General features: G+C 38.0%; 1 protein-coding gene and 1 long non-coding RNA gene across 19 annotated transcripts in view; one reads left to right on the plus strand and one right to left on the minus strand.

Annotated features, from left to right (window-relative positions):
- The window catches only part of LOC105375244 (uncharacterized), a 29,984-nt gene extending 21,869 nt beyond the window's left edge, over window positions 1–8,115 (minus strand). The window contains exons 1-3 of the long non-coding RNA XR_007060293.1: window positions 8,019–8,115; window positions 7,773–7,920; window positions 7,532–7,620 (exon numbers count right to left, since the gene is read on the minus strand). This is a non-coding gene — a long non-coding RNA (uncharacterized LOC105375244). The remainder of the gene's footprint in view (window positions 1–7,531; window positions 7,621–7,772; window positions 7,921–8,018) is intronic.
- The window catches only part of SUGCT (succinyl-CoA:glutarate-CoA transferase), a 903,812-nt gene that overhangs the window by 452,090 nt on the left and 435,279 nt on the right, over window positions 1–16,443 (plus strand). The gene's annotated exons all lie outside the window — the stretch shown is intronic.

The raw sequence follows: 16,443 nt of genomic DNA on the forward strand, positions 1-16,443 counted from the left end.
TAGAGACAGAAAACAGGCTCAGGAGTTGCCAGGAGCTGGCAGTGAAAGGCAGGGATTAACTATAAAGAGACACAACAGATTTTTTGGGGGACATGATGAAAATAGTGTGTATCTTGATGGTAGTAGTGGTTACATGACTATACATTTGTCAAAACTCAGAGAACTGTGAACAAAAAGGGGTGAATTTTACTGTATATAAATTGCACATCAGTAAAGTTGAATGATAAACAAAGACAGACTTACAAGTAGATCCAAGTTTATTTTCTCAATATGTTAAGTTATTGTAACCAGGCTATTTTGAAAAATAAATAATTCTAAAATTCTTGTGTCTAAACATGTCTTCATATTTATGATAGATATATAAATATATACAACACATATAATAGAAAAATGATGTAGAAATTAAAAATTCATAAAAGTGATGTGTGTGTGTACCTAAAGCAGTTAAATTTGCATTTAACATGAGTTGACACATTAAATGTTTATTCAATTTAGTGTTTATTTGTCATTGCCATGGCAAAGCAGTTGGAGGTGAAAGAGGAAGTGATGTTTTAATTAACATGATTGGTAAGATGTCATATGACTTATCCCATTTTCCTTTTATTGTGTTTAAATGAAAATAGCTACCATATGAAATCATCAATCCTTTTAAAGCTTGCTTTAAAATTTTTCAATACATAATGGAATTTTCATTTTCACTCATATTTCACTTATATAAATCACTTGTATGAGACAACAGTAAAATGGATATCTTTTAAACAGATATATTTATATCCTCCTTTTATATTTCTTTTTCTTCTTTCTTTCTGTTTTTTTTTTTTTTTTCCAGACAGAGTCTCACTCTGCCGCCTAAACTGGAGTGCAGTGGTGCAATCACAGCTCATGGCAACCTCCGCCTCCCAGGCTCAGGCGATTCTCCTGCCTCAGCCTTCTGAGTAGCTGGAATTACAGGCGTGTGCCACCATGCCCGGCTAATTTTTGTATTTTTAGTAGAGACAGGGTTTCACCAATTGGCCAGGCTGGTCTCAAACTCCTGACCTCAAGTGATCTGCCCGCCTCGGCCTCCCAAAGTGCTGAGATTACAGGTGTGAGTCACTGCGCCCAGCCCTCCTTTTGTATTTCTAAGAAAATTCTCTTTTTTTTTTTTTAATTATACTTTTAAGTTTTAGGGTACATGTGCACATTGTGCAGGTTAGTTACATATGTATACATGTGCCATGCTGGTGCGCTGCATGCGAAATAAACTTCCTGAAGGTCTTATATCACTCTGTGTTCACTAGTTTTGTTATGTATTCATAAAACTATAGATTAGTATAATTTTTAGGCAGAGAGGACCTCAAAGTATTAACTCTCCTGGTCCATTATCTACAGGAGGTAAGGGGTTATCTGTGTTTTATAATTGAAGAGGTGACATACAGAATTCTAACTTTCCCATGGTCACATTTCTAACGATTAGAGTTTTAGGTTTCAAGAGTGATTAATCTTAATAAAGAACTATAAACAATATTAATTAATGATTATGATTTAAGCATTTCATTTGATTCTTTGCTTTAAGCATTTCTCTAGGTTCAAGGTTTAATACCATCATATTTAATAATACTGCAATAATCCTGGTTAATCTTAAAATAGTGTCACTAGGGAACATGTAAATTACAGGATATGTTATTCTTTGAATGAATTTCATCTACTATTGTGGAATTTGAGGTAATGAATCTGAAAACAGTTTGAAGGCTATAAAGCACTTAACAAATGTTATTTTTTTCTTCTTTGTTTTTATCTGTCATTTGCTTGCCATTTTCCTTAGAATCTGGAGTAATATGCATACATTTGCAGAGAAAACTCATATCTGATATTTTTGCTTGCTAGGAAATAATTCTGTTTTGTACAAATAAATATATAATTATACATCAACATGTAGCACATTTTCAAAGTATGATCTAATTAAAATAATCTAAATAAAATTTTTTCTAAACTGATACAAAACCAGTAATTGGTGTCATAGCAGCTTGTCACTCTGTTTAGTAATCTTGTAGTATTGTTTAAATATGTACATATATGTGTGTGTGTGTGTGTGCTTGTGTGTGTATCCTTAAGACTGTGAGCCAAGACAATATTTTCTTATGTACCTCCTTTTTCTTCTTATAATTCCACTTTAAAATATTATCTTTATCTATTTTCTGCTACTTTAACAATGCATGAGACTGGGTAATTTATAAAGAACAGAAATTTATTCTCTCAGAGTCTGGAGGCTGAGAAGTCAAAGATTAAGGCACCAGCATCTTAGGGCCAGTTTCTCTGCTTCCAAGATGCTGCCTTGATCAGCCTTCCAAGATGCTCCCTGCCATTCTAGAGGGTAGGAATGCCAAGTCCTCACATGGTAAAGGACCAGAAGAGAGCAAACGGATTCCAGAAGCCCTTTTTATAGTGGCTTTAATCCATTAATGAAGGCAGAGCCCTCAATATGTAAACACATCCCATTAGGCCCCACCTCCCAATGTTGTTGCATTGGTGATTAAATTAAATTTCCAGCACATTAATTTTGGGGAACACATTCAGGCCATAACAGATATATAGGGAGAGCAAAAGTAGACATAAGTAAGGCCAGATAATTTACTCTTAATTGTGTTATAGTAATGTTAATATCTCCATAAATATATTTCTTAAGTTAGTGAAAACTTAAACCAAATAACAAAATGGTAAATTTGTTAATGTTACATGCATTTTAGATCCTCTAATGTATTTCAGGCATTTTGGATATATTCTTTTGATCTTTGCTCATTTCTAACTACAAGGAATGCCTCATTTCATTGTACTTCACTTAATTACAGTGTGCAGATATTGCTTTTTTAACACATTGAAGTTTTGTGGCAGCCTTGTGTTGAGCAAATCTACTGGTGCCAATGTTTGAACATATGCTCACTTTGTGTCTCTGTGTCACGTTTTGGTATTTCTCCCAATATTTCAAACTTTGTCATCATTAGTATATCTGTTATGGTGATTTGTGTTTAGTGATTTTTGATGTTACTGTAGTAATTATTCTGAGGCACTATGAACTGCACTCCTAGAAGATGCCGAACTTAATAAATATGTGTTCTGACAGCTCTAGTGATCAGCTGTTCCCCATCTCTCTCCCTCTCATTGGGCCTTCCTATTTCCTGAAAGACGATAATATTAATATTTGGTTAATTAATAACCCTATATTGGCCTTGAAGTGTTCAAGTGAAAGGAATAGCCACACATTTTTCATTTTAAATCAAAAGCTAGAAATGATTGAGCTTAGTGAACAAAGCATGTAGAAAGCCAGTATGGGCCAAAACATAGGCCTTTTATGCCAAACAGCCAAATTGTGAATGTAAAGGAAGGAAGTAAAGGAAAGAAGCCATCTTCATAACATAAAAGTGCAAAATGAAGTAGCAGGTGCTGATGTAGAAGCTGCAGCAAGTTATCCAGAAGATCTAGCTAAGATAATTGATGAAGGTAGCTACACTAAACAACAGATTATTACGGTATTCAAAGTAGCCTTCTGTTGGAAGAAGATATCATCTGGACTGTCAAAGCTAGAGAGAAGTCAGTTCCTGGCTTCAAAGCTCAAAGGACAGGCTGACTCCTTTGTCGGGGCTAATGTAGCTGGTTACTTTAAGGTGGAGCCAATGCTCCTTGACAATTCTGCAAATCTTAGGGCCCTTAGGAATTATGTCAAATCTACCTTGCCTGTGCTCCGTACATGGAACAACAAAGCCTGGATTACACTGCGTCTGTTTACAGCATGGTTTACTGAATATTTTAAGACCACTGTCGAGACCTAGTGCTCAGAAAAAAAAATTATTTTAAAATATTATTTCTCATTGACAATGTACCTCATTACCCAAGAGCGCTGATGGAGATGTGTAGGGAAATTAATATTGCTTTCATGCCTACTGACACAGCATCCATTGTGCAGCCCATGGATCAAGGAGCAATTTTTATACATTTCATAAGGTTGTGGCTGCCATAAATAGTGATTCCTCCGATGGATCTGGGCAAAAGAAATTAAAAACCTTCTGGAAAGGATTCACCATTCTATATGCCATTAAGAACATTCGTGATTCATAGGAGGAGGTTGAAATACCAATATTAATCAGGGTTTGGAATAATTTGATACCAGCATGCATGGATGACTTTGAGGGGCTCAAGACCTCAGTAGAGGAAGTAACTGCAGATGTGGTGGAAATAACAGAGGATTAAAATTAGAAGTGGAGCCTGAAGATGTCACTGAATTTCTGCAATCTTATGGTCAAACGTGAATGGATGAGAAGTTGCTTCTTATGGATGAGCAAAGAAAGCAATTTATTGAGATGGAATCTATTCCTGGTGAAGATCCTGTGAACATTACTGAATCGACAGCAAAGGATTTAAAATATTTCATAAATTTAGTTAATAGAGCAGTGGCAAAATTTGAGGGAATTGATGCCAATTTTGAAAATTCTACTGTGGGTAAAATGCTATCAAATAGTATCGCATGTAACAGAGAAATCTTTTGTGAAAGGAAGAGTCAATCAATGCAGTAAACTTCATTGTTCTCTTATTTGAGGAAATTGCCACAGCCACTCCAATTTTCAGCAGCCACCGCTTTGATCAGTCAGCAGCCATCAACATCAAGGCAAGACCCTCCACCAGTAAAAAGGTTATGATGTGCTGATGGAACAGATGATTGTTAGCATTTTTTAGCAATAAAATATTTTTAAATTAAGATGTATTTTTTAGACGTAATGCTATTGCACACTTAATAATGTTCAATATAGTGTAAACATAACTATTATATGCACTGGAAACCACAAAATTCATGTGACTTATTTTATTTTGATATTCACTTTATTACAATACTTGCTTTATTGTGATATTTGCTTTTTTTGCAATGGTCTGAGCCAAACTTGTAATATCTCCAAGGTATGCCTATATTTCTTGGCACAAAATATAGAAAAACTTTGCAAAAAGACAGAATTTTTTTACTGTAGAAAGTGTCAAATTTACATTAGAAGACAAATGTATGGTAATATTAAACAACAGGTTTAAATATGAGTTGAAATGTTGGCTTAGATTCTCTCTAAGATCACTTTCACCCTCAGGAATTGCTAATCATCATAATTATGGGCCGTCCAATTTAGCTATTGTTAACTGAGGTCCCATAGGATAGGGATGAGGTCCCATTGTCTCTCTTATTATTTTGTGGCAGAGATTCAAATAAAATAATGGTGACTGCTGCTCCTGGATTTGCAGACCATAAGATGAGGCATCCTTAGAGCACTGGTTGTTTGTCTGGAAGAGACATCCATCCTCTCCGGTTGACTGTCTGGGTCTGCACGCCCTGAGCAGAGGGATTGTGGGTAGAGAGCATGCAGGGAAGGGCTAGAGGAATGATGAAGGTGAATAAAGGAGGTTGGAAACTTCGTATACTATAAATTGCAAGATTGCTAATCTAGGGACATGCATATGGAATGGAGGACTGTGTGATATTTGGAGAATGTGTAGTAAACTTAGAAGTAAAGTAGTGCCAGGGGCTTTCTGATTTGTTTTTAGATTCCGTATTTGGGTTCTGCTGAGGAGGTGCTTACCCTGAGCCAGGCAACATTTTGAATATGGTTTTGACTGAGATATTTTGATGTGTACCAAAACAAAAAAAGAGGTAGTAGCAAGTCTATGTTTTGTTTTGTTTCCCCATGATCAAGGAGGTAAAGAGAGATCTTCATCCCATTGCTGTTTCCCATCTCTAGGTCTTGGGTATGGTCCCTAGAGGTCAGGGATATCAGTTGTACACATTTATCAGTGATAAATAGTAATTTTTACATTTTGACACTTTGCATCAAAAGGCTGTCTAAAGAACTAAGTGAAATATCCTGTTTAGAATTAAGGGCACAAGTAAGTGCCAGGTGATCGAACCAGACCAGGGCCTAGGAGAAAAGCATAGCTTTGGGTCAGATTCTGAGCGGCTGGTAGGACACAAAGGGGAAGAAGTCAATGATTATGAAGGATATGGCCAGGTAAGAAGGTGAAGGCCAGTAAAACTTAAGAGTTCAGAGTCACAGAGGCTGACTTCGCCTTGGAATCCAGAGCAGGGGAGGAGCTGAACACCCAGCTCTGTCCTTGGCCTAGAGCCCGTGGGATTCTAGTGGGAACCCCTCTCCCTTTTCTACTGGTTTAACAATTTCTCTCCGTTGCCTCCCCAAACCCACACCATCCCACATGCCCAGCAACCAGTGCCAGAGAGGTAGGCATGGTCAAACCGTATTATCCTTGGTTGGTGATTTTAGGGGCAGTAGATGGATTTTGTTGGCAACTAGAAAATGGGCATTGGCAAAGGACAATGTACAATTGTTGCCTTCAAGAGTGGCCTGAGTGTTTCATGAATAAGAAAGTTTGAGAACACTCTAATAAAACAGTAATAAAGAGTGTCAAAGAAGATTTTTGAGTTAAAATATATCAGTATGGGCCAGGCATGGTGGCTTATGCCTGTAATCCCAGCACTTTGGGAGGCCGAGGAGGGCAGATAATTTGAGGTCAGAAATTTGAGAATAGCCTGGCCAACGTGGTGAAACTCATCTCTACTAAAAATACAAAAATTAGTCAGTGCAGTGGTACACTCCTGTAATCCCAGCTACTTGGGAGGCTGAGGCAGGAGAATCACTTGAGCCTGGGACGTGGAGGTTGCAGTGAGCTGAGATTGCGTCACTGCACTCCAGCCTGGGTGACAGACTGAGACTCTGTCTCACAAACAACAACAACAACAAAATCTCACTATGATTTTCCAGATAAAATATGATGTAATTCACAATAGCAAAGACTTGGAACCAACCCAAATGTCCAACAATGATAGACTGGATTAAGAAAATGTGGCACATATACACCATGGAATACTATGCAGCCATAAAAAAGGATGAGTTCATGTCCTTTGTAGGGACATGGATGAAACTGGAAATCATCATTCTCAGTAAACTATCGCAAGAACAAAAAACCAAACACCGCATATTCTCAGTCATAGGTGGGAATTGAACAATGAGATCACATGGACACAGGAAGGGGAATATCACACTCTGGGGACTGTGGTGGGGTGCGGGGAGAGGGGAGGGATAGCATTGGGAGAGATCCCTAATGCTAGATGACGAGTTAGTGGGTGCAGCGCACCAGCATGGCACATGTATACATATGTAACTAACCTGCACAATGTGCACATGTACCCTAAAACTTAAAGTATAAAAAAAAAAAAAGTAAAAAAAAAAAAATATGATGTAAAATCCCAATATATTATCTGTTCTACCCAAGTCATCTCTACCATAATTATGAAATGTGATCGCCCTTCCTTTTCATATCCAGTTATTATGACAGGAACCTCCACTTGCCAAGTTGCTAGGAATTTGCCCATTTCAACATGCTCTCAAATGATTTAATTAGCTCACTTGGGCAAGTTAATTAACCTCCCTATGCCTCAATTTTCTCCTCTATAAAATGAGGAGTCTGAGTCAAACTATGGCCCCAGATTTACCTGTGAATCTCTTACCATGAACTTCTTCCAGGATTATGCACAGTGAGAACAGCTGGGGACACCCCTCCTCTCTTCACAGGATTTTAGTCAGGTCCTGTGTGGCACTAACAAGACAATAAAGAAGTAGGACATCATTGGTGAATTTCCCAAATCCCACATTTATGCATGGTCAATGTAAAACAGAACACAGTGCAGCTGCTTTGGTTGAAGTAGGGAGAGAAACTCAAAGCCCCATCTGCTCGGCTTCCCTGCTCACCTTAACCCTTCAAGCCACTCTGCTACGTTTAGAATGAAGATGAGATCCTCAAAGCATCATTTCTATAATAGTTTAGGAGAAGTTTATGGGCAAAGTCTCCTTTTTTCTGTCATGAATGAATCATTTTACTTTAGGGTAGCCATTGGCCCTGAATATGAAAAAAGAGGTTGCATAAGACATCAGAAAAAAAATAATTCTCTGTATATTTAATATTCTAAGTAAGAAACCAAAAAATTTAAAAATTACCCTGTGCTAGGTGCTTCAAAATATATTATGTTTATACTATCCGCCACAACTCTGTGAAAAACTATTGTCCTCCATATTATAGTTGATGAAAATGCCCCCCACTTCCTCGGCAGAAGTGAAATAGTTTGACCGAGGTCATAATGCTCTTAAGTGATGGATTTGTATGATGCTGAAGGCCACATTCTTTCCATTCCCTTCTTCCCATTTGTGGAGCCTTCAGGAAGTGTATTGTGCTTCTTTAATTTTTGTTGTAATATATCATGATTCATTATTGCCGTGAGCAGAGAAGAGAGTCGAATAGAGTCAGTGAAAGTTGAAAAGCATTGCATACAAAGTTGGGAGCATTTAATTGACACGTTGTCATTGATAAAACTGACATCACCTTAGAGGCAGAGGACAAGTCCTCACATTGTTTCTGGGACAGGGGCATGGAAAAAGAGAAGCTTTCACTAACTCCCTTTATGTTGTGTATCTCAATGGCTACTAAATACACCTCTCTCCTTTCTTTTTTCTTTTCTTTTTCATGCCACAAAAAAAAAAAAAGTACGGTAAATTTTTAGGAACTAGTTACAGTTATAACTAGTTACACCACTCCCATCTTCAAAATCATTTAGCTGTCCCAACTCATTAAAGGTCAAATGTGGTAACCAGAATATGGAGATGATCTTTGCTAACAAAGGTTCAGACTCTTTACACTGTGAGCTGGATTGGATTTAGATTTTGTATCAGTGGTTGACAGCCTATGATCTTAAGTTTAGTAGCTTAAGCAATTTATATTCATCAAAGTTACTGGTACCTTTTCCCTCTGCAGCTGATGGAAAACATGTCCTATTTAATTGGAAGGAAAAGCATCTTAAAATAACACTGAATCTTGGACATGTTGAAGAACAAATAGTTTCATTTCCATGTAGTGCGAAATCCTCATTTTATTCGGGACATGGCTGACATGTTTATAAGCTAAGTTTCTTTTCAAACTAGAGAATCCCACAGATGTCTCATCTGGGAGGACTTATGAGCTGTGTGACTTACTTTATTGTTATTGTTAATAATAAAACAAACTGTTCAATTTAGAAACCATTTCTTATCCTTTTCATTGCTTTTTACACATTTCCTTTATAGTTATAAAAGGATTCTTTGTATTTTAATAGTTTATTCATTCATTCCAATAAAAATAGCTAAAAAATAAAATTACAATAGGCACTGGGAGTACATCATGTCCTTGGAAACCATATTGGTACTACCGATATTAAAAGGACCAGACAGCCACAGATAAAATTCTGCCACCGCTTTCCTGAATGTATAGAGGTCACTTTGGTAACATTGAATATTACTGCTGCAATGTAAATTTTCATTTAGGAAATGGGATCCTTTAAACATGCACAAATTATTTCAAGTTGAATACCTAGGAAGTCAAAGGAGAACTTAAGGTCCTATCAACTACCCAAGAAAATATGACTCTTCTCCTCCATGAATGGGCCACACACTATGTGGCAGGTTTGGCTTTATATATCTTTGGAAACTTGGACATGTGTTTCATTGAACACTGGGGGTCTGGTAGATGTGGATGGATGGAGATCTTCTTTCAGCTAATATATGAAGTGTTAAAGTTTACATTTGCCTCTTGTATTCGTTGCCTTCCTGTCACTTGTCTTCCCTATTACCTCCTTTTAAGGGCTCTTATACTGGTGCATTGAACAGACTAGTGACAGTCTTGGTAATTTTTGTACTATGCACATTTATTCCTGTATTAACACAATCTATTATTTAGAATCAAGTGATTTCTGTAACTAGTAGCAAGCAGATTAGAAGATCCATGAGATCAAGTATCATGTATCTTCCCCCTTAATCGCTGTATTACCAATGCAACCTAGTGGCTGCATCCAGTGGATGCGAAATGACTATTTGATAATTGAATGAAATCATGTTGTCTATTTCTGGGTAGAAATATTGAAGCACAGGGCTTCAAAGTTATACAGCAAGTAGGTAAGAAGATAGGAACTAGAACTTATATCTTTTTGTTATCCTAATGAATCTCTGTTTTCCATCGGATTCTGTTTCTCCAAAAGAAAATCCTTAACATATAAAAATCAGATTGTTAATAGGTAGGTTAATTTTTCCCAAATTATTTATCAAACAGGGAATTGTTCTAGCCTAACTTCCTCAGCAAAACATCTTGGAGATAGAACTGTGCAATTGTTGTACAACTTCAAGTTCAGATAAGTTTTTTTTTTCCTAGAATCTTTCAGACTGGATATGGAAACATCTATGAGCAATATGCATTTGATTCAGTTAACAGTAAAATATAATTCAATTTATTGTAACAAGTGTGATCTACTTTACAAGCTTGAGGTACAAATAAGGTCATGTGGTAGTCATCAGTGCTGTTTACCAAATATTTCCAGCTTTCTGACTTTTGGCAATGTGGCAGGATTCACTTTCTGGCTTTCTTATAGAGGGGTGGGATGAAGACTAGATCTGGCCATGGTGCCACAAACAGAGGGTTGTATGTCATTTCCAGGCCAGAGCATTCTGTATCCTGCCTGAGACCTTGAAGAGCTCTCATTTTCCTTGGCATGGTGGACTGATAAATGCTTGATACAGTGGCTTCTTTGTCAGCCTGGGTTCCTCAATGATTGAAAGGAACAGAGTCCACTATTGACCCACAGTTGAAATATAGCATGGAAGAGAAATGAACCTTTGTTGTTTTAAGCCACTGAGATTTGGAGTTGCTGTTCCTGTAACATAATTCAGCCTATCCTGACAAATATAGGTACTATTTTTTATTTTCCAGCTAATCTTTGAGCCCTTCAGATATCATCTGCCTCCTCTATTAGTTTCTCCGAAAAAAAAAATCCAGTGTATTATTTTACCCAAAAAGGTCAGGAAAAGACTGAAAAGTCATATTAGCATGCTTCTGCCTTTTCTCCATCTCTGTCACATAGTGTACCCATGGCTTCTCACAGACAAGTGGATTCTCATCTGCTGGAGTGATAATATCCTTGCAGGTCCAGATCTCTGCATAGGTAGTGCCACATGCCAAGATATCAGCTGTTTAAATTCACAACCTTAGCTGTTGCTTAAAGCGCAGCAGTGTGAAAGGGTAACTGAACCACAGCACTCAATATACTGGAACCATGCCTTTCTCTTGAGTTCTGGACCATGGTGGGCCCCTCTCTACCAGTAGACTATAGTTAGAGTGATGATTCAGCCAAGAGATTCTAATTATCTTCACTACCAAAAGGGACGAAATCAACGTCTTGAACCTTGTTCAGGGAGCTGGACACATACACAATTAATTCATGTATATCAGCATGCCAGGTCATTACTATACAGGCAGATGCTCTTTAGAAAGGCCAGTGGAGGGAGGATTCATAGAGGTGATAATTGTTCTGGGCATTCATGTATATAAATTTCTTTTTCCTAGCAGAGAACTAGAGAAAGGGTCACTGCAAGAAGAGGGACTGTTCACGTAGACATGAAATCCAGAGTGAGAATGAGCATGCAGGGGTCAAACATCTGTTTGATGGGACATCAACATCTGTTAACGGGACAAACATCTGTTTGGATGCATGGGATGTGAGCCATAACTGTAGGATATTATTTGAGAAAACCAGGTGGTCAAGAAGGTGACAGAAGATGGTAACTTTGACCAATGAATGACAGCTACCATCCCAGACACAGGATCTGTGTAGATAGTGTGCAAATTTTCAAACCACACATGTGTGATACATGGCTCTCAGAATGGAGAGGGTTGACATTTGAGAGAGAGAGAATATTAGACCGTCAAAATACTGACAAGGGGATAATGATTCTTAATAAGAGCATCTCTCTCATCTCCAAGACCATCTTCTTTTCTGTCCACGATTCTAAACTTAATGGTGGCTGAAGAGTTGGAATTGTAAGGGGAACCTAAATGGGGCCTACCTTCCTCTCCACTTCCTTCTAAATGAAATACTGTCTCTTGTTGCTGCTGCCAACTTCCGATGCCACGGGAAGCAGGTCTGTTTTGTGGTCAGATGAGAGAGGGAGGTTGAAACCGACACTTTAAGGGAAGCCTCAGAAGCTGGTGCTCGAGATTTGCTTGCTACCCAATATTATCCTTGCCACAGGATACCATAGGGTTGGGAGAGGGTTTCTCAGAAGTTTGTGGGTAGCGTGTGTATTCTCATTAATTAGGAAATTAAATTGTTCGCTGTAAATTGAAGGGTAAGGAATGTTTTTATTTAAAATTGAGGAAATGAAGTGTGGGAGGGTAGATGATAGCCATGCTTTTTACACCAAATTGCAGTGGTTTACTTGCTTTTGCTTTGAGGGTCATATTAACTTCAGCACCAAAGCTGGTCCCTTGGAATGCCTTTCAGTCCTCCTAAGAATGGATTCATTTTATAAGAGTTCCTGTATGAGCATGATTCTGGGTAATATAAGTCACCTTATTGATTACAAGTTTTCATTCTCTTCCTCCAAACTGCCCGTCTGATTTTCTTTAATATTCTCTCTTACTCCTTGTAGAAACAAACTTAAAACCCAATTGCTTTTGATTTCTAAGCTAAGTTTCCCCAGGCTTACCAGCTTGTTGATAATACATAATAAACTGTAGTATTGCTTTCTACCCACTGGTGTAACTCTGGGCCTCTAGCTATACCTTCAAGCAGTCCTTTCTTATTTTCCTCACTCTAGCTCCCCTTACTGGAGTCCAAATCCCAGGAAGTCAAGTAGGGGTAGTGCCTGAGTGGGAGTGCTATATGGATACTGGTCTCAGCATTCAAAGAACCGGCACCATGTGCTCTGGAAGCCCTTCCAAAGTGCCCGTAGGGTGCCGGGATACCTGCGTTTCTCATTGTGAGGAGGCTGCACCAGGTCACATGTGAGGAGAATGCTTCTCTTCCTCTTTGCAGTTATATTTTGTCTGTTGGGCTCTGGAGAAACATTTCTTGTGCCCGTCAGCAGTTCTTCTTTCTATGGGACTGGTACTATGACCCATACCTGAAGTTGAAAGCAGTCTGTTCTGCCAGTCACAGCCTCTTCCTGGATGTGTCTGCAAAACCATTTCATTATTCTTTTTCAGGAACCTTCCCCCAAACAAACAGAGCAAAAATTTCCAACAACAGAGTTCCTGTTCACTCATTTCTTATGTGTGTGTGAATCCCAATGTAGACTCAAGCTGGATTTCTGTGCATCTAAGAAAGTTACTTCATGCAAGTCTCCCATTAGCCCAACCAACAAAGTTGTGCTGGAAACACTTTCACCCAAATCCCAGGCATCATTGTGGCTAGATGAATGGGTTACCAGGGCTGACTGATAACACATGGTTTGCAGAATGTCATCTAAGGTATTCATTTTGTTAATGTTACAAGGTTTATTAGAGAACCTCTGTGCATCTGCTTAATCTCCAGGGCTTTCACATCAGTTTGGGGGATATAATTGTAACAAGTTCTGTTCATTTTTCTTTGATGAGAGACATGGAGACTTTAACTTCCTAATTGATTTGAAAATTGAAGCCTCAAATACCTTTGGGAAGTAGAAATCATGAAAACCAGAGTAAACCACTTTTCTTTTTTTCTTGATCAAGGGGACATGTGAATTCAGAATTTCTGAAGAATCAAGGTAGAGAGTTTTTTTTTTTTTTTAATAAGACTTGTGGATTGGATTCAAATGAATAAGCATTCATTTCATATAAAGGGAGTAGATATGTCTGTGGCATGAGGATGATGCTCAGAATTGTCTAGTTAGAGACAATTTTGTTTTGTTTTTAAGCTATCTTTACTTTGATATGGGGGAGGGGGCAGTTAAGTACTTTTTAAGGTACTTATGTTCAACACTATGTTCCAATAGTTTTTGGTCAAAACATGAAATGTACCACTGTCATTCTAATATAGCAACATAAATGGAATACTATAAATCTGAAGCCAGTTCTAGAAAGAAAGAGGAGAAAAGGATATTTTTTAAGTCCCATATTTATATGAAGTTCAAAACTGCTTATGGTAGTAGGCAAACAAAATTTCTTTAGTTTATCTATGTGCAGGACCCTTTGAATGGCCAGATGTATTAGTAGCAAATAGTTCAGTATTTGCTATTTGGATGTCTTAGGAAATAGCTTCCAGGTGGGAATCTGTAGAGTTTGGCATTGGGGTGTACAATCTAAAAACTCCTTGTTATTCTAGTTTACCTTTTGTCTTGTATTGACCTGAAGTTCCTAGCTCATTTGATTGGCAAAGGGAGAGATCTGGGATCTGCAGACACCAGGTTCCCCTGTGGACTGTAACCGTCAAGAACACATGTCCTTGCCACAAATCTTTGAGGTACTCATGTAATGGATTTCTGAGTGATAAAATAATACTGCTTAGAAACATTTTCTGAAGGTTTTGAGTCTGTTGTGGAAATACTTACATGAACCACAAAGTACCCTGGCTTTATGCTGTGGTTCATTACCATGAAATTCCATGATGTGGAGTATCACAGGAACCTTACGCTTTGTCTTCTAGTATTTGACAACAGCAGCTCTGCATGAGAAAGCCTAAGCCTCTAAGACAAGCTTGTCCAACATGCGGCCTGCAGACAGTTCGCAGCCTAGATGGCTCTGAATGTGGCCCAACACAAATTTGTAAACTTTCTTAAAATGTGAGGACTTTTTTTTTTTTTTCTCATCAGCTATCTTTAGTGTTAGTGTATTTTATGTGTGGCCCAAGATACTTCTTCAAATGTAGCCCAGGGAAGCCAAAAGATTGGACACCCTTTTTCTAAGATCTAACCCTTCAAATAAGATCTAACCCTTCAAATTGCCAAATTCAAAGTGTATCTAAAAAAGGATTGCCCTTTGCCTGAGAGTTCGCATTTTAAAGCACTCAACATTTTCATTTAGAAATAGTTTCTTTGGACTTTTATAGACATACTCTTTCAAGTTTTTACCTTGGAGACCTCTTCATATAACAATACTTAGAATTTTAAACATGGTTTCACTTTAAGTAATCTCAGCCCAACTCTGTTGAGTGAAATAGATTTGTTTCCTCTCTCAATTGTGTCTGCTGTAATGTAGGATCAGATTATAGGTCAACCCTCAAACCATGGTTATATACTTAAGCCATGGGAAAAACCAACCAACCAACCCCCAAACCTGAGTTACTGAGGCAGTAGGATGCTGTGCTTTGCCATGGTTACCACGGGACTGAATGAAGGGGGATGAACCCAGAAATGAAAACTTAAAAGAAACTGTTTTAATGAAGGGATCTGTCGGGGGGAAGAAGAGGGCTCCCTGCTTCTGGTGAGCAAACACAGCAGCCCTGAGCCTTTACAGCCCTTCGTATTTATTGGGTAGAAAGAGCAGGGAGGAGGAGGTAACGACTGGTCAGCTGCTTGACTGATCACAGGTTCACATTATTGCTAACAGGCTTCAGATGTGTCTATTCACAAGAAACACTTGTGCCTGGGTTGTGACTGCCCTCAGTATTCCTTCTGGACCACAGACTCAGTTTGTCAGTTTGCCAACATCCTGCTTTCATGAGAACAGTTTGCTGTTTACTCATATAGCCTCCAGTGGTATACAGAGCTGATCATGACCCTCACTCTTTTGGCTTGCAACAGTAGGAAGTCATAGTGTCCTCATGAAAACCTACTGGAACTGTTTCCTTCCCTTCTGGGATCTTCTGTTCTTTTTGTCATCCATTCTAATCATTTCTAGGTGTATGTACTATCTCTCCCTTCCATGGGATTAGCAATCCCATCCTAGACATTATTCATAGTAGTGGTAGGATTTTCCAACAGGATGACACTCTTAGGATATTCTCACTTTCTTCTAGAAATGGTAGAAATTTCCCAAACAGTCTTGGGTGGCTGCTTTTCAGAACTGCAGTAGTGATGGGATGTTGGAACAAGGAGCTGGCATAGTAATTCTGAGCATAAATAGGACTGAGGGGAACAGAACTCTCATGTGAACTTCTAGGGAAGTTAAATTCTAGGATGAATTAAATATATTCTTCACTTACAGTTATCCTCTAGTTGGTGCTCATGTGTTTTTAAGAATATGTAACCTCTATTTTTCAAAGAAATGCAACCTGAGAGTATAGAAAATATGTTGATTTAAATTTGATTTTCCAAAGTTCAGACTCTATATTTACACTTGAATAATTGGATGTTAAGAGACTAAAAGGGTTTAGATACATAGGAATATGTATGACAAATGCATAATGATAGCGAAAGTGCTTTCTTTGGTATTCTTGTGTGCCCAAGGTTACCCATAAACCCAATAAAAAAGAAGTGATTTCCTCTACTTGATTTGAAGTAGTCTCTGAATTTCTAAAGACAAAGATTACATTTTATTGATCTCAGAGTTCCCAAAAGAGTCTAGTACAATGGATTAAATATAGTAGCTGTTCCATAAGTTTTTTTGTGTAATTAAGTTCCTGTATAATGAATAATACTTTTATGATTT

This window comes from Homo sapiens, chromosome 7 (genome assembly GCF_000001405.40).
Source record: "Homo sapiens chromosome 7, GRCh38.p14 Primary Assembly".
Taxonomy (NCBI): Eukaryota; Metazoa; Chordata; class Mammalia; order Primates; family Hominidae; genus Homo; species Homo sapiens.